Source organism: Homo sapiens, chromosome 11, assembly GCF_000001405.40.
Source record: "Homo sapiens chromosome 11, GRCh38.p14 Primary Assembly".
Classification (NCBI taxonomy): domain Eukaryota; kingdom Metazoa; phylum Chordata; class Mammalia; order Primates; family Hominidae; genus Homo; species Homo sapiens.
This window is the reverse complement of record NC_000011.10, coordinates 20,410,906-20,435,513: the sequence shown is the minus strand read 5'-3', so window position 1 is coordinate 20,435,513 and position 24,608 is coordinate 20,410,906. Positions and strand designations below refer to the sequence as shown.

At 36.0% G+C, this 24,608-nt stretch overlaps 1 protein-coding gene across 6 annotated transcripts in view; it reads right to left on the bottom strand.

Annotated features, from left to right (window-relative positions):
• PRMT3 (protein arginine methyltransferase 3) overlaps positions 1-24,608 on the bottom strand; it is a 121,623-nt gene that overhangs the window by 73,825 nt on the left and 23,190 nt on the right. For 5 of the 6 annotated variants that reach the window (NM_005788.4, NM_001145167.2, NM_001145166.2 and 2 more), the window contains one exon: positions 8,649-8,748. The exons of the other annotated variant lie outside the window; for it this stretch is intronic. In NM_005788.4, coding sequence (NP_005779.1) covers positions 8,649-8,748 — 100 coding nt within the window. The remainder of the gene's footprint in view (positions 1-8,648; positions 8,749-24,608) is intronic. 6 annotated transcript variants of the gene reach the window in all.

The following is a 24,608-nucleotide window of genomic DNA, read 5'->3' as shown; positions in this document are numbered from 1 at the left end:
CATATACAAAAATCAACTAAAAATGGTCTGAGCGCGGTAATCCTAGTACTTTGGGAGGCTGACGTGGGTGGCTGGCTTAAGCCCAGGAGTTCAAGACCATCCTGGGCAATATGGCAAAACCCCATCTCTACTGAAAACACAAAAATTAGCTGGGTATAGTGGCGCACACCTGTAGTCCCAGCTCCTCAGGATACTGGGGTGGAAGGATTGCTTGAGCCCAGGAGGCAGAGGTTGCGGTGAGCTGAGATGGTGCCACTGCACTCCAGCCTGGGCGACAGAAAATAAATGAATTAAAAAAATATCAACTAAAAATGGATTAAATATTTAAATGTAAGGCTTTAGATTATTAAACTAATAGAAGAAAACATAGGGGAAACGCTTCAGGACATTAGTCTGGGCAAAGATTTTGTGGAGATGATCTCAAAAGCACAAACAACAAAAGCAAAAACAGACAAATGGGATTATACCAAATTAAATAGCTTTTACAAAAAAATCCCATGCAGATGAGTAGAAGGATCAATATCATTGAAATGGTCACACTGCCCAAAGCAATGTATAGATTCAATGTTATTCCTATCAAACTACCAATGACATTCTTCACAGAACTAGGAAAAACTATTTTAAAATTCATATGGAACCAAAAAACAGTCCAAATAACCAAGGCAATCCTAAGCAAATAGAACAAAACTGGAGGTTTCACATTTCCCAACTTCAAACTATACCACAGGGCTACAGTAATAAAAACAGCACAGTACTGGTACAAAAACAGACACATAGACCAATGGAACAGAACAGCGGACCCAGAAATAAAGCCACACACCCACAACCTTCAATCGGATTGAAGATCACAATCTAATCTTCAACAAAGCTGACAAAAACAAGCAATGAGGAAAGGACTCCCTATTCACTAAATGGTGCTGGGATAACTGCCTAGCTATATGCAGAAGACTGAAATTAGACCCCTTCCTTTCAACTCAAGATGGGCTAAAGACTTAAATGTAAAACCCAAAACTATAAAAACCCCGAAAGACAACCTAGGCAATACCATCCTGGACATAGGAACAGGCAAAGATTTCATGACAAAGATGCCAAAAGCAATTGCAACAAAAGCAAAAACTGACAAATAGGGTTTAATTAAACTAAAGAGCTTCTGCACAGCAAAAGAAACCATCAACAGAGTAAACAGACAACCCTTAGAATGCAAGAAAATATTTGCAAACTATGCATCTGACAAAGGTCTAATAACCAGCATCTATAAGGAATTTAAACAAATTTATACAAAAAGCAAACAACCCCATTAAAAGGTGGGCAAAGGACATGAAGAGACACTTTTCTAAAGAGGACATGCATGTGGCCAACAAGCATATGAAGAAAAGCTCAATATCACTGATCATTAGAGAAATGAACATCAAAATCACAATGAGATACCATCTCACACCAGTCAGAATGGCTATTATTAAAAAGTGAAAAAATAACGGTGCTGGCAAGATTGAGGCGAAAAGGCAACACTTAAACACTGTCTGAGTGTCAATTAGGTCAAACATTGTGGAAAGCAGTATGGTAATTCCTCAAAGAGCTAAAAACAGAACTACCAGGCCAGGTGTGGTGGTGCACGCCTATAATCCCAGCACTTTGGGAAGCCGAGGTGGGCAGATCACTTGAAGTCAGCAGTTCAAGACCAGCCTGGCCAACATGGTGAAACCTCATCTCTACCAAAAATACAAAAATTAGCCAGCACGGCGGTACATGTCTGTAGTCCCAGCTACTCTGGAGGCCGAGGTTGGAGAATTGCTTGAACCTGGGGGGTGGAGGTTGCAGTGAGACAAGACTGCACCACTGCACTCCAGCCTGGGAGACAGAGTGAGACCCTATCTTAAAAAAAACAAAAACAAAACAAAACAGAACTACCTTGTGACCCAACAATTCCATTACTGGGTATATACCCAGAGAAATAAAAATCATTCTACCATAAAGAGCAAGATGCACATGAATGTTCATTGCAGCATTATTCACAATAACAAAGATACGGAATTGGAATCAACCTAAACATCCATCAGTGACAGAGTGGATAAAGAAAATGGTGTCACAGATACACCATAGAATACTATTGCAGCCATAAAAAAGAATGAGATCATGTCTTTTGTGGGAACATGGATGGAGCTGGAGGCCATTATCTTTAGCAAACTAATACAGCAACAGAAAACCAAATACCACATGTTCTCACTTATAAGTGGGAGCTAAATGATGAGAACTCACGAATACGAGAAGGGAACAACAGACACTGGGGCCTACTTGAGGGTAGAGGTTGGGAGAAGGGAGATGAGTAAAAAAAAAATAACTATTGGGTACTAGGCTTAGTACCTAGGTGATGAAATAATTTGTACAACAAACCCCCATGGCACAAGTTATTACCTAAATAACAAACCTGTATATGTATTCCCAGATCTGAAAGAAAAAAAAAGCCACTAAAAAAGTAAATAAAGTTTCTGCACAGAAAAGAAAACAAAAGAGTAAAGAGATAATCTGCAGAATGGGAGAAAATATTTGCAAATTATTTATCCAGTAAGAGATTAATATCCAGAATATATAAAGAGCTCAACAGCAAAAACCCAAATAATCTGATCAAAAATGGGCAAATAAACTGAATAGACATCTCTCAAAAGAAGACATATAAAAGGCCAGCAGGTATATTAAAAAATGCTCAACATTACTAACCATCAGGAAAATGCAAACAAATTATAATGTGATATTATTTCATGCCAGTTAGAACGGCTGTTATCAAAAAGACAAAATAAGGATGCAAGGATGCAGAGAAGGAGAATTCTTATACACTGTTGGTAAGAATATAAATTAGTACAGCCATTATGAAAAAGAGTATAGAGGTTCCCCAAAAAACTAAAAATAGAACTATTATATGATCCAACAATCACACTACCGGGTATACATATTCAAAAGAAAGGAAAACAGAATGTCAAAGAAATGTCTGTACTCCCACATTTATAACAGCACTATTCACAATAGCCAAGATACAGAATCAACCTAAGTGTCTATTAAGAGTTGAATGGACAAAAAAAATGTGACATATATACACAATATACAGTTTATAGGAGACAATTTGTATTTATAATAAATGCTTATGTGCCTACAAATGTAAGCTGTAAATTTGAAGGGTTTACTTTTACTCCCAGGTAGAAGTAAACAGTATTACTGATAAAATATTTTTAAGTTGTTATACAATTTTAGAGTTTAAAATAAAAATTAACAAATATTTTGTGTTCTCTGAGGGATTACCTGAAAAATGTTTGTAAGGGCAGTTGATTCATGTTCCTGAATAACTTAACCTTTTAATATTCATGATTAGAATACTTTGTCACTTATCGAAGATTGAATAAAAGAAAGGCTAGGAAGTGGTTAAGAGCACAGACAAGAACAAAAATATAGATTATAAGACCAAAATAATTATACACAAGGGACCTATTACATTTCTATTCCCTTTGCTTTCATTTTATTCTTGATTCAGATGTTAGCATATCTATGAAAAAATATGAACCACAACTTTTCTTTCATTGTTCAAGTACTATAAATATCTCCCTGTTAATACTTAACAGTACTAGAAAACAGTACTGCGGAATGGGAATTTTATATTTTATCTAAAATTATTAGGCATTGTCAGCACTGCCTAAAAATTGTTTCCAAGGCAGCAAACTGAGAATTATGCTTGAAATATACATAAAGTACATTTTGATTCAACTAACATTAAGAAAAATACCAAGAATACCCCAAATCCCAATAACTCACATCCATCAGCTTACTTTCATACTTCTGTATACCAACCACAGACAGTCAATTAGTAAATGCTAGACATGGAAAGAGAAAGTCTTCCGCTTTTACAAAGGGCTTTAAGCAAGGGAGAAGCCCTAAGAATGTTCTTCCTCCAAGAATTAATATTCTTTATTTCATGTATATGATTATTTTCAACTGTTATTTATTGAATTAGCTAGTGTAGTAGCTCGCTCATGAGTTACAGAGTACTTAAAAGTTTGTATAACTTTCAAAACTGAATACCTAAGTTATTGAGATCTTATGTGCCAGAAACTGTTCTAAGAAATTTGCATGTATTAACTCATTTAATCCTCACAAAAAAACCTTATGAAGTAGGTAATACTGTTATTTTCATTTTATAGAGAAGGAAACTGAGGCACAGAGAGGTAACATGCCCAAGAATGGAGGTAGTTTGCCTCTGGAGCAACATTCTTAACCCTGTCATATACTATATCTCCATGCCTTCATGTATTGTACATAAAATTATAAATGTCTGAGGCCAGCGAATTTCTGTTTGGGAACGTTCTCTTACAATTTTACAATTCACATTCCGTCATCATTTACTAATGCTAAGCCTCGTGGACTTAGTCTATGTGTTTGCAAAGTTATGCTGAAAACATAGAGGAAATATAGCAACACCAAATGAGTCAATTTGGCTTACTGAGTCGGAATTAGGGATGCTTATTTTGAACAGTTTTATTAAGTAGGCAGAAATAAGAAGCAATAAAGAACAGCTCTCAAAACAAGAACTTCTATTGGTAGACTAAAATGTAAAAAATGAGGACACATACACAAAGACATAGGTATTAACATCTTCCAGGGATTAAACTGTTTACATTTAACTGAAACAATTTTGTCAAACAGAAATTCCATCTGATAAAAATGAAAATGTAGAGCATGATGACTACAGTTAGTAATATTGTATTGTATATGAAAAATTTCCTAAGAGAATAGATTTTAGGTGCTCTTATTACATACAGAAAGACAGGTAAGTATGTGAGATGACAGACATGTTAATTTGACAGCAGTAATAATCTCACTGTGTAAATCAAAACATCATGTTGTACACCTTAAATATATAAAATAAAAAGAAAACTTCTCTTAAATAAAAACAAAAATGAAAATATAAAATTAAAGGCAAGCCTAGAACTGGAAATTTGTTAATGCAAGCCAAGTGATTGTTTATTAAATAACATGCTAACAGCAATAATTTAGCTTTTAAAATTACATTCTTATCTAGAAAAATCTTCCAAAATAAAGACAAAAATTCATGAACAGGTGCAGACTAGAAACATATTTAGATTAAGCCATGGAATAGTTAGTGGACCACAGTAGAAGAAAACATGTACATCTCTGCTATATGATTTCTACACTGCTATACCGGATTACACATCCATTAAACATCTGTGCCCAATTCTGGAGGGTATATTCTATTTTTGTCTTTCCTTGTTGAAAATACTTGTAAAAAGAGAAAAAAAATGCTTAACTATGGTTCATTCTAGATTTTTGCATCTTTATTATGTTGTATGTAAAAAATAAAATAAATAAAGACAGGAGTCTGTGCAATTTAAGTTTAAAATGCTGGTTCATGAAAATGTGGCTACAGATTTAAAATAGTTGTTTACCATTTGCCTACTGTTTCAGCCAATGCGCCTGAAACATGGAGGATAAAGTTTAGAAAGCATACCTGCCCTTTGTTTAATTATGTAATTGATGTTTTCCAGCTTCTCAAATCAAAAATCCTAATGAAAGTACCAAATAAAGTTAGGGACTTCTAGGATTTAGAAGATACCATAAATGATATTTCCAATCCACAAAGATGATTGAAAATAATTTAGCACAAGCCTTCTTAAGCCTTAAATGCAAATTTCACCAGAGAAATAAGGCCATCCAGAGCTGACTGCCATAGAATAACTGCTGTAAGTTTAGTGTCCAATGCCCCACCTAGAGCACTTAAAACAGTTGCTAGACTTCAACTCACTTAAAACAAGGAAAGGCAGACAGTGAGATAATACAAATGCTTAAGTAACACCTTTGTGGTGAGGAAGAAGAAAAGTTCTTAGTTATCCCTTCCTGAATACACTGATTTGTTTTTCATTACTGGTTTCGAAGAACCTTGGCTTCCAAACAACTGGCTCCTTTCATCTCAGGCTCCAGTGACTCCAGTGACTGCCTTCCTGATGAAGAGAGAGGTCTTACCTGACCAACGCTCTGAAGTGAAAGGTGTTCTTTATTTCAGTTAGAGCAAGTCCCCAGCCCCCAAGCCAGGGATGGGTACTGGTCCGTGGCCTGTTAGGAACTGGACTACACAGCAAGAGGTGAGTGGCAGGCCAGCATTACCACCTGAGCTCCGCCTCCTGTCAGATCAGCAGTGGCATTAGATTCTCACAGGAGCGTGAACCCTATTGTGAACTGCCCAAGTGAAGGATCTAGACTGTATGCTCCTGATGAGAATCTAATGATGTGAGATGGAACAGTTTTATCCTGAAACCATCCCATCCCCATCCCCCAATCCATGGGAAAACTGTCTTCCATGAAACTGGACCCTGGTGCCAAGAAGTCTAGGGACTGCTGAGTTACAAGCACAAACTAGGAAAAGAGAAACCACAAAAGCTATTTAAAATAGAGGAAATTTAATGTCAAAAGTCACTTATACAGAGGATAAAAGATATGAGCAGTCATCAAGAGAGTGAGACAACCAGACTTGACAATGCCCACAAGTAACTAGCATTCCTAGGCTACTGCTACAAGAACCCAGGGCTGGGGTTGCACAGTGGATGCTGGAATTTCAGCATGCCTGTTCGGTGGGAAGTGGAACCACAAAAGAAATAGCTTTTGCCAGCAACACACTAGAGATAAAGTAAGAAGGGAAGAAATGCCCTGGCTTCTCCCTTTCTTAAATCTTGGGAGATTTAGTGTTTCTAGTGTTTCCCATTGGGTTCCCCAAACTCAGCAGAAGTTAGCCATCATAGGAGCTTGGTAAAGGCAGCCTGCAGGGTTAGCCCTCCTTGGTACAGAAGAAAGCAGAAGGGTACAAAATGGATTCCAGTACAACTTTCAATAAAGTTCACATCATAAAGACAATCTCATGAATTCATTCAATCCAGCTAACTGCAGTTATTAAACCAGCTGGCTCTAAGATATCAATTGCCTATTAATAATTCTAGATCATCTTTCAGATTTGGAAGTGAAAAATCCTAGAACATCAATATCCAGCAGTATAATTCTGCTAGGCAGAGCAAGAACTATCCCATTAGTTATTGTAATCAGATATATAATAATGTTCAACTGAGGTAACAGGAAGTTTGGACAAGTCTTTCTTTTGGTTTGCCTATAAAGTCTATTTTGGAGTAATTTAAAAGATGCATTTTCTAAGAAGAGTAAAATATACAGCATAAACTATTTAAAATTCTTGTCTATATGCCTCAAATGTGCTTTCTCAGAAGCATCTTTTCATAGTCTTTAAAGAAATATTACATTTTTAATTCATATCTACTCTTTCAATTCATGAGAAATCAGAGTGCTGATACAAATTCTTTGGTGTGAGAATACTGATATTGTGACTAAAGGTTGTTTAAGGCCAATCTTAGCATTAAAAAAAAAATCAACATACTGTTTCACATACAAAATAGTAACTGTCAACAACTGTGACTGTCATCAGCTCTAGACTGGAACTCCCTACACTACTACATTAAATCTGAATATTCCAAAAGTTCCTTGAAACATCTATTTCACTAGGATTATAACTATGTTTATTCAAAATTTATAAAAAATTATAAAGCAAAACTCAATGTTTTCAAAATTTTTTGATAAATTTTATGAAAATATATCTACCAAACAGAACTTTAAGGAAAAAAATTATTTCAAAATAATTTAAAAATCTTTATTAGAAACACTATCCAGTTTATTTCTGTCAAATTGACATATCAGTAAGTCAAATCAGCTGTCAAATACATTTTTTTTTTCGAGGTGGAGTCTCGCTCTGTCACCCAGGTTGGGGTGCAGTGGCGTGATCCTGGCTCACTGCAACCTCCAACCTCCTGGGTTCAAGCCACTCTCCTGCCTCAGCCTCCCAAGTGGCTGGGATTACAGGTGCCTGCCACTACGCCCAGCTAATCTTTGTATTTTTAGTAGAGATGGGGTTTCATCACGTTGGCCAGGCTGGTCTCAAACTCCTGACCTCAGGTGATCCACCTGCCTCAGCCTCCCAAAGTGCTGGGATTAAAGGTGTGAGCCACCATACCCAGACTCCATTAATTTTATTTCCATATATTTAAAAATAAACATTCTGTCTTGACAAAAGATTTCAACAGCAAATTATAAAGCTATGTAACATACCTTCCTTTTAATATTTCAGTAACAGCAATAAATTCTATTTTATGTGATAATGGACATTGATTACATGGCCCAACAGATTAGAAAGATAGGACATTCAGTATGATAATGGTGGCAATATCATGTTAATTTTGATGAAACAGTCCTAATGAGTTCTTATTAGTCCCTGGAGGCTTTCAGGCAAACACTTAGGTATCTAAAACTTAGAAAGTAGAAAAATAATTTATCAGGACTTTTAAGATAAAAAAGATAATTTATCACTTTTTAAAGATTATGAATAGCCAATAAATAAGGGCCATTTCAGAATAAACTACAGTAAGAAGACTGTAGCTATTTTTTTAAATTACACATTATAGTATCTAATGTAGCTACTTAAAAAATAATGTCACCATTCTGCCATGTATCAAATATAATTAAATTCATGAAAACTATTACTTTAAAAAAGTTTTTTCATTTTACCAGTGAAAGTAGTTTTTTCTATAAACACTCACCATCCACTCAGATATGATAACATCTACTTTTTCTACAGGAAGATGAACTTCTTCAATCTTTCCTTTAATTAGTGTAATAGTATCTTCAAGTTTATTTAGTCTGAAAATTATAATGAATTAGATTAGTAGGTTAAACAGATTCTGAAAGCTAGTTAAATTACATAATTTTTTGCCAACAACTCGTATTGTTTTGTGGGACAAAAAAGTATTTCAATCAAAGCTTAGTTGTTCTTTGGACATTGTAATTATTTTATGGTTACTCCATGCATGCCCAAAGATGTTTGTGGTTAATATGGCAATACAGTGAACCAATATTTAAAATCTGAGTTTGAAAAGAAATCCAAATTTTATCAAGAATAACATGTCAATGAAGTTACATGTCTTTAAAACAAACAACACAGTGGTGAAGACAGACATATAAGACATATAAAAGTATGGTTTAAAGGGAAGTGTTGTGTCTGTCATAGGGGTGAGAGAATTTGAAGCCCCAAGCCCATAATTTAACCCCCAGATTCTCTAGCATTTGTCAGCTATGTGATCTTCACCAAATTTTTAAGTAATTTCGTTGAGCCTGTGCTACTCCTGTGTAAAAGAGAATAATACCGACCCTATTTACGTCACAGGCTATTAAGAGGATCAAATACTTGTGAAAGCTATACATGTATCTATAAACAATGACACTATCATCAACAACAAAACATTAAGTGTTAAAACCTGAAATCTTATCACTATCAAAAATTAACCTTGACCAGTGGCACTCATTAGATGTTCTTATACACTTGATCATAAGATTAGCAATATTTCCCCTTCTTCTGTAATATGAAACAACAGTTATTTTCACAAAGGTGAATGTAAGCTGCTGGTTAAGTTTACATCTGATTAATAAATTCTCAATTCTCAGAATGTACATTGTAACTATAGAGGATTTTTTTCCTGCATCAAAGAAGAAATTGTACCCCTTAACTTCATTGGGTATTATTTACAAACAATTCAGTGCATTCATTTTAGGGTAGTTTTGTTAAATTCCGAAAAACAGATACTTTGTTGACCACCACAATCAATATATAGAACATTTCCTCTTCCCCCAAAGATTAGTGCCCATCCCAGAAAATCTCCCCATCCACAAGCAACCACTGATTTTCTTTCTTTCATTATATATTAGAGTTGCATTTTACAGACAGAGTTTCATACTAACAGAATCGTGCTGATTCTTTTTGTGCCTGGCTTCCTCCAATAAGCATGATGCTTTTTTAGTTTCATGTATGCTTTTGTGTATATCAGTAGTTTGTTTGTTCCTTGCTACTGCTGAGTAGTATTCCACCACATGGATAAATCACAATTTTGTTTATACATTCACCTGTGTATGTAATTCTGGATTGCTTCTAGCTTTGGACCATAATGAATAAAGCTGGTATAAACATCTGTGTATAAGCAGAATTGCTCCATCAAATGGTAGTGTATATCTAACTTTTTAAATAAACTGCCAACTTGTTTTACAAAGCATATAAACAATTTGACATTTCCAGCAGTAATACATGTGCATTCCTGTTGCTTCACATCCTTGTTAATAATCACTATTGTTGATCTTCGAAATTTTCACTGTGTAGAAAGAATTCATTGTGGTTATAAACTGCATTTTCCTAATGATCAAGCATTTTTTCTAGGCTTGCTTGCCATATTCCCATGTCTTCTTTCGTTCGAATCTTTTGCCCATTTAAAACATCAGGTCAGTTGTATTCTTTCTTTTTTTTTTTTTTTTAAAGACAGGGTCTCACTCTGTTGCCCAGGTTAGAATGCAGTGGTGCAATGACAGCTCACTGCAGCCTCAACCTCTCTCAAGCTCAAGTGATCCTCTCACCTCAGACTCCTGAGTAGCTGGGACTACAGGTGCGTGACACCATGCCTGGCTAATATTTGTGTTCTTTGTAGAGATGGGGCTTCTCTATGTTGTGGCTGGTCTCAAACAATCCACCTACCTCAACCTCCCAAAGTGCTGGGATTACAGGCATGAGCTGCCACACTTAGCCCAGTTGTATTCTTATTACTGAATTCTAAGAGTTCTTTACATATTCTGGACATAAATTCTGTCAGATTTATGTACAGTAAGTAATTCTGCCATACTGTGGCTTGGTTCTTAATTTTTTAAATGGTATGTTTTGAATAGCTAAAGTTTTTAACTTTGATAAAGAACAACTTATCATTTTTTTCTTTTATGGTTCATGCTTTTGGTGACATATCTAAGGAATCTTTGCCTACACCAAATACTTCACCTATGTTTTCTCCTAAAATGTTTTCAGTTTTCATTTAATTTTCCCATATGTATCTTGTTCATTTTTCCCCCATATCAATAACTACTGATACAGTGTTGAAAAAACTTTGTTGGACAGACTATCAACAGTGACAGTTTCAATGTTGTTGGGAAAACTATCACTAACTTACGGAATTACTTTGATATCTTTGTCAAAAACAACCATGTATGTGTGGATTTATTTCTGGACTTTCAATTCTGCCCCCAAATTTAGATGTGTATCCTTATGCCAATACAACACTTTCTTCATTACTATAGCTTTAAATTCAGCCAAGAAATTTGATAGTACCTCCTTAAAGTTTATTCTTTTTAAAAATCCTTCTGGCTATTCTTGATCATTTGCACTCCCATATCAATTTTTTTTTTTTTTTTTTGAGATGGCGTCTTGCTTTGTTGCCCAGGCTGGAGTGCAGTGGCGCGATCTCGGCTCACTGTAAGCTCCACCTCCCGGGTTTACACCATTCTCCTGCCTCAGCCTCCCGAGTAGCTGGGACTACAGGCGCCCGCCACCACACCCAGCTAATTTTTTGTATTTTCAGTAGATATGGGGTTTCACCGTGTTAGCCAGGATGGTCTCGATCTCCTAACCTCGTGATCCACCTGCCTCGGCCTCCCAAAGTGCTGGGTTTACAGGCGTCAGCCACCGCGCCTGGCCTTTTTTTTTTTTTTTTTTTTTTTTTTTTTAAGAGAGAATCTCACTCTGTCACTCAGGCTGGGGTGCAGTTGTGTGATCATGGCTCACTGTAACCTCAAACTCCCGGGATCAAGAGAACTTTTTGGAACTGATAAAAAGCATTAAGCCACAGACAGAAGTAATCCAATGAATCTCAAGACTAAATTCTTTAAAATCTTTAATACTTAAAAAAATCAGAGAAAAAAAATCAACAAAGGCAAATTATCTTCAATGGAATAACAATTGTTCTGACAGGTGACTTCTTAAAATAGCAACGATGAAAGCCATAGATAGTAGAATATCACCAATGAACTAGCAAACCTTTTCTTAAACTGCCGAAGTAAAAATATTTTAGACTTGCAGGACATATGATCTCTGTTGCAACTATTCAACTGCTATTTCTGTGTGAAAGAGGCAATAGACAATATGTAAACAAAAAGGCCCAGCCGTGTTCCAGCTTTACTTACAAAAACAGGTAGCTGGCCCATGGACTGAGGTTTACCAACTCCTGTACAACAATATTACTGCCAATGTAGAATTCTATATGTAGAGAAAAATATCTCCCAGAATTATAGGCAAAATACATTTCAGACCAACTAACAACAATCTCTTTGGCTACTGACATAAATGTACAATGAAGGAAATATTAAAAAATTAGTTCAAGAAGAAGAAAACTGGTCCTAGATGGTCTGGGAAAAAGGAAGAAATGAGAGAAGTGAATGGACATATGTGGGTGAAAGAATACATAAGATCAGAGTGTCAAATCTAACTCACATGAACCAGAGATCTTACCCAGTGTCAAGCTTTACAAATAATTTTTAAAATACAGGGAATCAGGAAGTCCAGACTAAGAGATTTGGGATATTAAAAGCAGCTGCTTCGGTCCTTCCTTCCCTACATAAGCTACACAATCTCTGGCCCAGAGTAGAAAAGGTCTTCAAATGGGGTGGATGGGTTATCAATTCACACAGTAAGAAGCCTTGCTCTATGTGCCAGGTTGATCCCTACTTCTTCTGAGTCCCCTGATTGCCTGTACCTTTGAAATTATTAATAAAGTTTAAAACTGGGTAATCTCTCTTGGTAATATCGGGTAATTAGGTTCACGTGTGTCTGACTTGAAACTATGTTAGCTCAGGATGGTGCTGTGTGCAGGACTCTCTTGCAGACCCATGAATCACAAAGCCTAAATAATTTTTTTAGTCAGAAAAAGGAAGGAATTTAAAAAAAGAAAACTGGCAGAGGATTGAATCCTAGGATGTTTGCCTACCTAACCTCGGTAGGAAATGGCAAGATTTAGAGAACCTGCTAGTGGACTGATAGGGAATAGTACGCAGAGGGGAAGATAGTGAAAAATCCCATTCTCTGGCTGTTACTAGTTTCTAATAAATGTCAGTCTTTTTAGAGAGGAAATGGTGGCAAGAGAGAGTTTTTCCTCACTGAAAGACTTCTTATGCTTTTACGTCTACCTGGAAAAATGAAGTATTCAACAGGAAAGTAATGAACTTAAAACTATGAGTTGTCACAAAGACAATGCAGACAGTTAGAGGACAAGTTTCGGGGACTACTATGTTCTGAGAGTATTCAGTAAAAAAAAAAGAAACTGTTTTACAGAGAAACACCAAAAAAGCCTGGTGATTCACTGTTGGCATAAACTCTCAACATTTACTACTGGCATAAATTCTCAGAATTAACAATCAGGGAAACACATCACTTACTTTACATACTACTGAGTAGAAGGGATTACTGGCTTGATTGATCCCCAAGTGGCTGTGAAGAGATTCTTCCAGGTGGTATGACAACTAATCTGCTACAGTGAGTAAAAGTAGGATTGCAGCATACCTACCGCAAGAGGGGTAACTGCCATACTCTCTTCCCCACATATAAAGCAAACAGTCCTTCTGAAGGAGTAGGCATGCTAGGAGTGCAACTGAACTTAGATAGGCTTTATGATAACAATAGAATTTAATGCTATGGACACAGGTGACAATGTATGTAGAAATTAGCAACTCCCCATTCTCGAGTACTTTATGTAATCTTACCGTTAGGAGGCTAAGAGAATATTCAGGAGGCACTATCTCATTGACTGGCTCAGTTAACAAGCACGGGGCCCACATGATGTTTTTAACATAGAAAGGAAAAGGAAAATCAAAGAGAGGAAAGAAAGGACAAGGGAAAAAATAACCAAGGACTCAATGGTTTTTGAAAAATGATGTAAAAAAGAGAAATTAGATGAGGGTTCTACGAAGAAATTATTAACAAGCTTTGTAGAGGACAGTTCAAATTCTGGTGGTCATTAAGGGTTTTTGGAGACTTATTCTTTGCATAAGTGATTGCAGAAAACAATAAAACAAAAGATACCTGAGAAATATATGGCAAGGAGATAATGATCAAGGTCAGAAGGTAGTGGGGAGGAAGAAATTAAAACAGCTGACCCATGAGTCACAGCCAACATTTATTGGGGGATGTTCATCCCCAGGGTGAATTTTCCATTTAAAGTGACTTAATGTCCTTGCATTGTCTGGGAGGAGGTTAAAAATATTAACAATAGGCCAGGAGTGGTGGCTCATGCTTATAATACCAGCATCTTGAGAGGCCAAGACGGGAGGATTGCTTGAGCCCAAGAGTTCAAGACCAGCCTAGGCAACATAGGAAGAACTTGTCTCTACAAAAAATAAACAAACTAGCCAGGCACGGTGGCGTGAGCCTGTGGTCCCGGCTACTCGAGAAGCAAGGTAGGAGGATCACTTGGGCCTGGGAGGTCAAGGCTGCAGTGAGACATGACCTTGCCAGTGCACTCCAGCCTGGATGACAAACTAAGACCCTGTCTCAAAAAAACAAACAAACAAAAAATAATAATAATAAACTCTGATTAATTACGTATTCAGCATCTTGATACTTTTACTGTAATTTGTTTATAGCTTCTTTCTAATGTATGTATTCATAAACATACATAAACATAAAAACAGTTTTGTTTTTTCACATCCAATTCTTATACTTCTCTTTTTATCATATTAGTGCATTGGCTAGGATCTCCTTTATGGTGTTGGATAGAAGAGGTGATGAAAGGTATCCTTGTCCTGTTCCTGAACTTAAAGAGAATGCTTTCAATGCTTCATCACAATACTGGTTGTAGGTTTTGTTTTTATAGATATTCTGTTATCAGCAGTCCCCAACCTTTTTGGCACCAGGGGCCAGTTTCGTGGAAGACAATCTTTCCATGGACCTGGGGGTGGGAGATGGTTTTGGGATGAAACTGCCACCTCAGATCATCAGATATTAGATTCTTGTAAGGAATGCACGACCTAGATCCCTCGCATACGCAGTTCACAATAGCGCCTGCAATCCGTGAAAATGTATTGCCCCCACTGATCTGACAGGAGGTGGCGCTCAGACGATTATGTTCACTCACCCACTGCTCACCTCCTGCTGTGTGGCCCAATTCCTCACAGGACACCCACAGATACTCATCCGCAGCCTGGGGATTGGGGACCCCTGTTCTTTATCATATTAGGACACTGCTTTCTAACTCTAGTTTACTAACAGTTTTAAATACATAGATACATTGAATGGATACTAAATTTTATCAGACTTTTATACTGCATCTCTTGAGACGCTCAATAGATTTTTCTGATTTTCTCATATTTAACCAACTTTGCATTCCTAGAATAAACTTTACTTCCCAATTTATTGCTCAGTTTTCCTTTTCTTTTTTTGAGACAGAGTCTTGCTCTATCACCCAGGCTAGAGTGCTGTGGCACGATCTCAGCTCACTGCAACCTCCGCCTCCAGGGTTCAAGCAATTCTCCTGCCTCAGCCTCCCAAGTAGCTGGGATTACAGGCATGTGCAACCATGCTGGGCTAATTTTTGTATTTTTAGTAGAGATAGGGTTTCGCCATGTTGCTCAGGCTGGTCTCGAACTCCTGGCCTAAAGTAATTCACCTACCTTGACCTCCCAAAGTATTGGAATTACAGGCGTGAGCCACTGTGCCTGGCCTAGCTTTCCAATATTTTTATTAGGATTCTTGCATTTGCATTCATGAATGAGTGACTTGTGATTTTCGGTTCTACTGCCTTAATGGAGTTTTAGTATAAAAGTTATAAAGACCTCATATAATGATGCTTGATTCTTGATAAAAATGATAGTGTAAGTACAAAGAATAATGAATGGGACCAGGACAACTGGGTCATCTAAAGAGAATACCAAAAAAAGGAACAAAACTGGACCACCACTTCATACTATATACAAAAATCAATGCCTAAGTGTAAAAAGCACAATTATAAAGCACTTACAAGAAAATATACCCTCTATAACCTAAGAAAAGGTACAGATTCCTTACTCAACTCACAAACAGTGGCAACTATAAATAAGAATGTTGCCATATGAAAACTGAGAATTTCAGATCATCAAGATATGACAAAGAGGGTGAAAAGGCAAACACGAATGAGAGAAGACTTTCACGTTACATAAAACCTATCAACAGTTCAAGTCCAAAATATACACATAGATTGCCTATGAATACTTGAACAAGACACAACTCAAAAGAAACCTGAGCAAAAGGCATAAACAGATATTTCACAGAAAAAGGAAATCCAAATTGCTAACAATCACATGAAAAGGTGCTCAGTTTCATTAGCAATCAAAGAAACAAAAATTAAAATTGCAATGAGATACTGCTACACAAATGACTGGAAACATTTTTTAATGGTGGATAATACCAACCACAACTGTTACATACTATAGGTGTAAGATAAAGTGGTATAATCACTTTGGAAAATAGTCTGGCAATATCTAGGAAATTTGAAGATATGTATACCCTAAGGACCACAGTTCTACTTCTAAGTATACACCCCCCAGATGTGTGCACCAAGGCACATGTAAAAACTGATCATAACAAAATTGTTCATACCAGCCCATCTGATTGAGAAAGAGCAGTGGAGGTGGGTGGGATTCTGAATTGGTGGCAAAGTTCTCTTGGCCTGGGTGATGGTTACTACATGTTTAATTTCATTTGTTATTTATGGATACTTATGCATATTAAACATGTTTATTGATGTTTTATGTACTCATTTTACATATTTCATACAAAAAGTTTTACAGAAATGTTTATGAGTTTTTTTTTTCAAAAGGGTATTTAATAAAATTCTGATGAAATTGCTATAGTTGCTTGTTGCTTACCAAAATACTGATTAAGGCTTTAACAATGACAAACACTTCAAAGAAAACTGAAGGCAAGCTTCTTTTAAAAGAGAAAAATGTTCCCATTGCTTAAAAATATCTTCAGAATGGTTATGCCGAAACAAGATCTGTGTTCTGTAAAAGACCATCTGCTAGGCCTGTTTATTGTCTGCTACAAGTTATAAACCTATTTGTATCAGAAATTATTTGTTCAAATATGACTATAACAAGAAAGATTATGACTTAAGGGAAAACACAGGAAAAAAGACAAAGCCTTGTAATTCCCATTAATTTTGTATTAAAACAGATATCACTGACACAGAAAACCTCTTTCATGAGACTGTTAATCACCACCTGATTTTTTCCATTCGTGAAAAAAATATACAGATTTTACTTAGTTTTCTCAAGTGGCTACTCACTAAACCCTACTTCAGTATAAACCAAATGAATCTTTATCTTTGGAAACACCTACTGAAAAACTAGCATGATTCTAATGTAGAGAACTATGACGAGGTAATAAAAAGGATATCTTTAAGTAATTCTCTTCACTAATCCAATAAAAATGAAATTATCAACTTTTTCTGAGGGGAAATTTTGTTAGAACACATACTTTCCTATCTTATTTCCTATCTTAAAAGTAGCAATTTAACTTTCACTTCATGATACAGGGACATCATCATGATTAATTATCTTGCACGAAGCATACAGAGATAAAAGACACAGTCCATGCACTTACGGGTATGGTCTAAGAGAGACAGAACAGTAAACAGGATTGGGGACTATGGAAGCTCAAATGATAAATCCTTATCTAAGTGACATCTGAGCTTAGCCAGGAAAGGACACAGCATACACAAAGATGTGTACAGGTATGGGAGTAGAAGAGGGTTGTGTCTGTGCACAACTGCCTCCTGTGTGTGTGTGTGTGTGTGTGTGACAGAGAGAGAGAGAGAAGCAAATTTAAATAACTGAACAGTTTAGTATGACTAGAGCAACAAGAGATAGTATACAGTGACATAGTTGGGGGATATTTAGAGGTAATGCTATGACTTATCTTCAAGTCTATATTTTACTTAAAGATAATGAAGAGTCATTTCAGGATCTTTGGAATAAAAAATATAGGATTAAATTTTCAATCTACATTTTCCCTATGTGATTTAGGTAAAAGATACGGTCTATGTTCTAAGAAGAAGATGGTCTAGTGGGGAGACAGACAAGCAAACAGCATAAAGTACATGTGAGTTCATACAATGAACACCTAATCGAGTGCATTTAAAGTTAGTGATAAAACAAATTTAAAGTTCACCTAGAATATATGGATGATAGCTTATGGGGGAGAAGAAAGGAATATCCTAATAGATATAAATAGATACAATATATACTATTCATTTACTTTCAGTTCAATATGTCATCGAAGTATACATATTTATTTCTCTTTTGCTCCCTAAGAACAGTGAAATGACAATAACGTAAAATGTAAGACACTGATAAATGCATGGAGATTTTGGAAGGGAATATCAAAGAGCCAAAGAATCTCATAATTCAGTGAGAGAAAAAAGGGAATGAAATTATATTGGTAAACCTGTGAAGAAAGACCCAGTACTCAGTGCACACGTCAGCGAGCATGACAGTGGAGGTGGAGCCATTCTTCACAACGCAAACCATTGGAGTCAAGAGGTTTACAAAGTGGGAGTGATAAAGGGACTAAAACATTACGGGGGTAACTGTAAACTGACCAGTCTCCACCCTTTCCCCTCAGAGACAAAACCTATGCCAGTTATCTTTATTAAAGTATCCAGTCCTTCATTCATAAATGTCAACAAAAAGCAAGAATTCTTAAACATTATGAAGCTGGGGGTAGATTTACACACATCCCATGAGAAACGAACTACCAAGAAGGTATGGGGCATAGACCTGGAACCATAACGGGCTATTCTATGAGCTGCTCCCTCCCAAATGTATCATCTTTATTTACAAATGTGTAGCTGTGGAATTACTAACACTGAGGACATTTATTGTTCGAAATTAGCAATAACTCAGTTCTAATAAAGTGAAAAAATATAAAAATAGTCATCTGGAATCTATCAGAAACAATGGGTTTGCAGGCTTTGGTGACAATGATTTACCTGGCTTTGAATATGTAATGTCCCAAATCTTGAAAATTGATTAATTCATTCATTGAATAAGTACTTACACTGAATGCCTAGGATGTGCTGGGTCCCCTTCCTGGTAGTTGGGACACATTAAAGAATGAAAAAAAGAAAAATTCCTGCCACACCACGGGGAGCTGATATTTTAGTAAAGTTTACATTCCTATGAATTTCATCTCTGTGACCTAAGGCTTTTGAGAGTGGCAAGAAATATACCAAAATGTTGATAGTAGTCTCTGATAGTAGAATCATATGTAATTTACCCTCTTTTATGTCTTCCCAAGACAAACATATCTTCCCCCCACCCCTTCTTCCTCTTTATTTAAAATAGAGGAGAATTAAGTGGGGAAATCAGTCTGGCTGCACTACAGAGAACAGATGACAGAGAGTGGTGGGAGGCAAAGACAAAGTACAAACAACTGGTCCAGTTAAGTGCAGATGCATTAATTCAGGTGAGAGATCTAAGAATGTAAAGTAAGACATGAGAAACATCATGGATAGATGAGAGACACATTTGAGAAACATTAAGGATACTCAACAGGACTCTGTCTCCAACAGGTATGTTGGGTAAAGGGGAAGAAAATGTCAAGTATGAATCCCAGGTTTACAACTCGGAAGAAATGAGTGAATGCAGCAGGTCTGTTTTGTTTTACTCAGTTCTTGCTTAGATCTCTATAGCCATGGCAATGATTCTTGATCAAACTCTAAGAACAAGAACTCCCAGATCACTCATATGATTGCAGAATAATAATGTTACTCTATTTTACCTGAAGCAGTAGGTTTAGATGAAGCAGGTTGACAATATGTTTAAAGTAAACATGAAGATTCATCATGCACACTTGTTACCTGGTTTGGGTGTATACCATGGCTGGTCAACATGGTGGAAATATGCCTACTTGACCAGCTAGCTTTGAGAACTACAGTCTCTAAGACTCATGCAAATTTCCCTGGGTAGAGACATCTCACATGTGCCTCTGAGGTATGAAGCTGGGGAGGAAAGAAAGTCTTGTATAACTAGTGGAAAAAGTGAGAGAGATACCTTGGAAGTCTGCCTGTGACCTCTTTGCCTATGGTCATCTTTTTCCTGCTGTTTCTGCACTATACCCTTTTCTGTAATCCTAGCTGTGAGTACAGCTTTATACTGAATTGTGTGAGTTCTTCCAGTAAATCACTGAACTAGTGGGTGGTCATGGAATGTACCCCACAAAGACAGAACCACTGGAGTGAATCAGAAATTAAGGGGATTTCGGGGTATACTAGGAAGGGAAATAAATTTAATTTCCCTGTAAGGTGTCTTGATGACCTTCATGACGTTCACCAGAGTTTTATGGCTTTTGAAGAACAAATTTTTTTTAAAACCATTTTAGCCTCATCAGTGGTTCAAATTTCTCTTTGGCTTTAATTCACATTTCTGTTATTTCTATTAAACTTAGAAACAAAATATGAAGTAGCATCCCTTATGTCAAGAATTTTTGCTGGTGTATTTTGTAATATTTTTCCAAAATACACACACACACACACACACACACACACACACACACACCACTACCACCACCACTGTCTTTAAAATCATTACCTTAAGATACTTCACTTTTATTCAAAAACCTTAACTAAGCATCTACTATGTGTGTCAGACACTTTGTTAGGTGTTAGGGATAAAAAGATGAGGATAAAGCTCTTGTCCTTGTGTCTAGAGAAGGACACCTGCATAAACATGACAATAAATCAAAATATTCTCTAGACTTTTCTTAATGTTTCCTTTCTAACAGTATTCTAAACACAGGCAATATAAAAGATTGCATCTTTAATGTCAAACTGAGATTGAGTGTACTGCATTATGGCCATATGATGGATCAACCTTCTCCTAAAAACTCTTCTGCAGTAACATCTGAAAGTCTGAATAATGAGCTATTCCATAACTGTGTCAATGAGAAACCAAAGGCACCCAGAATAATGGTAAAAATATTAAACAGACGCTACCTGCGCTTCCTGAGGGTAATAAACACAGTATACAACTGTCTGGCAACTGAATAGCTTTGCTATCCTTAGGTAAGTTTATGTTGCCGAAATGATCTTTCACTGCAGAGTTCAAAGTATGATAGCAAAAATAAGAAACAATTTCTGATTCTCTTCCATATGTCACTTTGAGACCTATTTGCCCTTACTAACATAACATCTCAGAAAATCTATATTGTTTTATTCATGTCTGCAACCTCAGAAGAGCCAGCCTAATCTTCTTAAAACCTGATATACTGTCAGTTTACAGTAACAACCAAAATGTATCCAATTCTAAACTCATTTCTTTAGAAATGCTAGATCACCTTTTTAAATAAAAAAGATAAAAATTGTTAGTAGAGGTATTTATTATTTTTTTGGTAGAGACAGTTCTATCTTGCCCAGGTTGGTCTTAAACTCCTTGGTCTCAAGGGATCCTTCTACCTCAGCCTCCCAAAGTGCTTAAGCCACCATGCCTAGCCAAAAATTATTTTAAACATAATCCAAGAATTGTTAAGTTGCACGTGTTTGAAGGAATAAAAGACTATGTATTTTTAAAATATCTATCTTTTAGAATTTAAAGTGCCTTTTATAGATGTAGGCTTGTGGAGTTTAACAGAAGACATTCTGCTGTATATAGACTTCTGACCGAGAAAAGGGCCTCAGAAGGGATAAGGACAACTTAGAGCCTGTTAACCAGAAGAGCTGTTTTTGTTGACTGATGTTATAGAAAACTCCAATATGCAAGAATAGACAAGTATCAGAGAAGTTAAGAACAGAGTTGAAGAGAGGCAAGTGAGTACAGAGTACGACTAAAGCTTGAAGTTTTATGGTATAAGAGAATAGAGATTGTGAAATAGAAAGAAGACAAAAAAGTAGTCACAGTTTGACAAGATAGCTGCAATAAATGTCCATCTTAGAAACATAACCACCCAAACGTAAAATATTATTTGAGGCATTGATGCCAAGCCAAACAGATGACCACTACTAATAATTAACATGATTATCATTACTGCTAACATTTAGTAAGCAGTTACAGGGCCAGCCATTTTGCAAAGCATCATAACGGATACAATTCCTGTAACAATCTTATGAGATAAGACTCCATCAACCTCATTTTATAAATGAAGAAATCAGGGCTTAAAGGGGTTGTAGTGAAAGAAAAATTAGAACTCAAGTCATGTCTGGATGCTGAGATGAGCATGCTATGCGGCCTCCTCAACTGGTTAGAATAATGAGTCAGTAAACTGCAGTGATATTAACAATTAACTGTTTCCTACATATTCTTTTAGAAGTACATTCACAGAGGAATAGAAGGCATTTCACTCCAAATTTTAAAATTTCAAATGGAAGACAAAGGAGAGACACATAAGAACACTATAAAAATAACTACCTTTTCACAATATAAAAAAGGCAAAGAACATTTCTGAAGAAACAGTACAATGTTGGCTTATCCAAAACAAAAAGGCCTGCTTTTCAAACATCCATAGGTTTTAAGTAAAGCAAACTACTGAATACAACCAATACATACCTTGTAAGTAGTTCAATGGAGATAAGGAATTGCAAACTGGCTATGAGGATAAGCTATGGAGTCAGGCTGCCTGGTAACTAATTCTGACCCCACTATAGAAACAGAGTCTCACTATGTTGCCCAGGCTCAATCCTAGCACACTAGCAGCCTCCAACTCCTAGTCTCAAGTGATTCTCCTGCCTCAGGCACATGCCACCATGCCCAGCCTCTTAATCTCTTATAATAGGTATAAATAATCTACATCAAAGGAGATTCAGTTACACCTGCACCAAAGGAGATTCAATAGAAAAAACTAAATTAATGTTAGCAATTTTATTATTAAACTGGGATATCTAAAGATTGAGTGCTAAGTCATTTTCAATAAATGTTCTCATGCACCAACACTCAAATGTATTAGGACACATTTACTGATATAATGTATAAGTTTCACTTTAAAATACTCCAACAAAAACAAAAACAAAACAAAAAAGGTGGGAGGGAAATGTATAAAAAAAATCGTGAAAAATTGATAAATGTAGACGCGGGTGATAGGCACACAGGAATTCATATCATTCTCTCTACTGTCATGTATGGCTGAAAATTTCAAAAATCCTTTTAAGGAACTCTCTGATACTTCAAAACAAAGGTGGGGGGGGGGTTCAGACTACATAGCTGTTCAACAGTTTTGTGAACAGATTTTTAAAAATTCATATTTTTGCAAAATGGATCTGGTGAACAAATGCTTCCCTCTGCTCTGATGACCATGACTCTAGTAATGATTGGCAAAAATAATGTCTATAATGAATCTTAAACATGGCCATCTAGCATGAGGTAAGACAAAAAGGTCTACACAAATATCACTGGATCTTGATAATAACAACTATAGCCTTTGATAGTTTCCATCTGAAAAGAAAACTAGGAATTGAGTGACAAAGCATTCAACAAGCAACTAGAGTACAAGCTTGGTCATTAGTACTAAAAACTGTGAGATAATAATAAGTCTGCTTCTTTAGTCCTTTAAATACATCTACTTGTTCAATTTCCACACTGTACAAAGGGGGAAAATAACATATGCAGGAGCTTTATAGATAATTAGAAAAAAACAAGTCTTATGTGGATACAATTTGTTTTGTTAAAAATCCATTATCACAAAGTCACAATACATGGCTGTTCCCTCTGAATCAACTGTGAACCTGCTGTATAATAAAACTTTTCCTCACTAAGCTTCTAGGTATATGCTCTCATGTGCAATGTTTTAAAACTATTTTTTAAAATGTGATTATTTTTTGCAAAAGCCTATTTATAGTAAATATGTGCTCTATGCAAAATGTTCACTTAGCTAAATTGGTACTTTAACTGAATATAAACTTAAGTTTTAGTCATTTTGTTATACTCTCCATGGTTAGTAGTGATCTTTGTCACAAATGCTATTTCTCTGACTGCTAACATTACAGCAAGAAAATAATTATTTGCAGTAGTGAAACTGATTTTGATTTCTTCACTGCACTTCTTATCTATGCTTCCTTCCTATAACTACATCTGACACTCAAGCAAAGATTCTAGATATACTTTGGAGCTAGCAGGAAATCTTACAAAAATGACACTTTACAAGATTGAGAGAATAAACATTGGTAAGCATAAAATATTTGACACAGCAAAGACTAGTTTGACATATGTACTTCCTACTTCACTACATTAAAATTAGTGTTCGAGATTCAAAAATCTGGCTGACAAAATGATCAGACTCCCTTTCCAAAAATACACACAGAAAAGACTGAAGACAAGTATTTTGAGTCAATGATTACAGACAGAGGATCCTTATCCAAATAAGTCACATGTCTCTACCTATTTTATCCTAAGAAACTGACAGAGCTCAAATTTTAGGTCTTAGGTATCTTGAACCCTAATAATTTTAATGAAAAGCTATTATGCTAGATTGCTGGGTTTAAATCTCATTATTACTATATAAAAATCTTGTTAAAATACTTTTAGTTATGTGCTTACTTAGCTGAGTTAACTTTAAGTTATCTCAAAAACATCTTTGTATCGAATCCTGTAAGTATTGCTAAAGAGACATTCTGTTAGCTCTGGCTTTATAAGTGAAAGATCTAAAGATGAGAAGGGAGGAGCAATTTATTGTATTTGAGTAC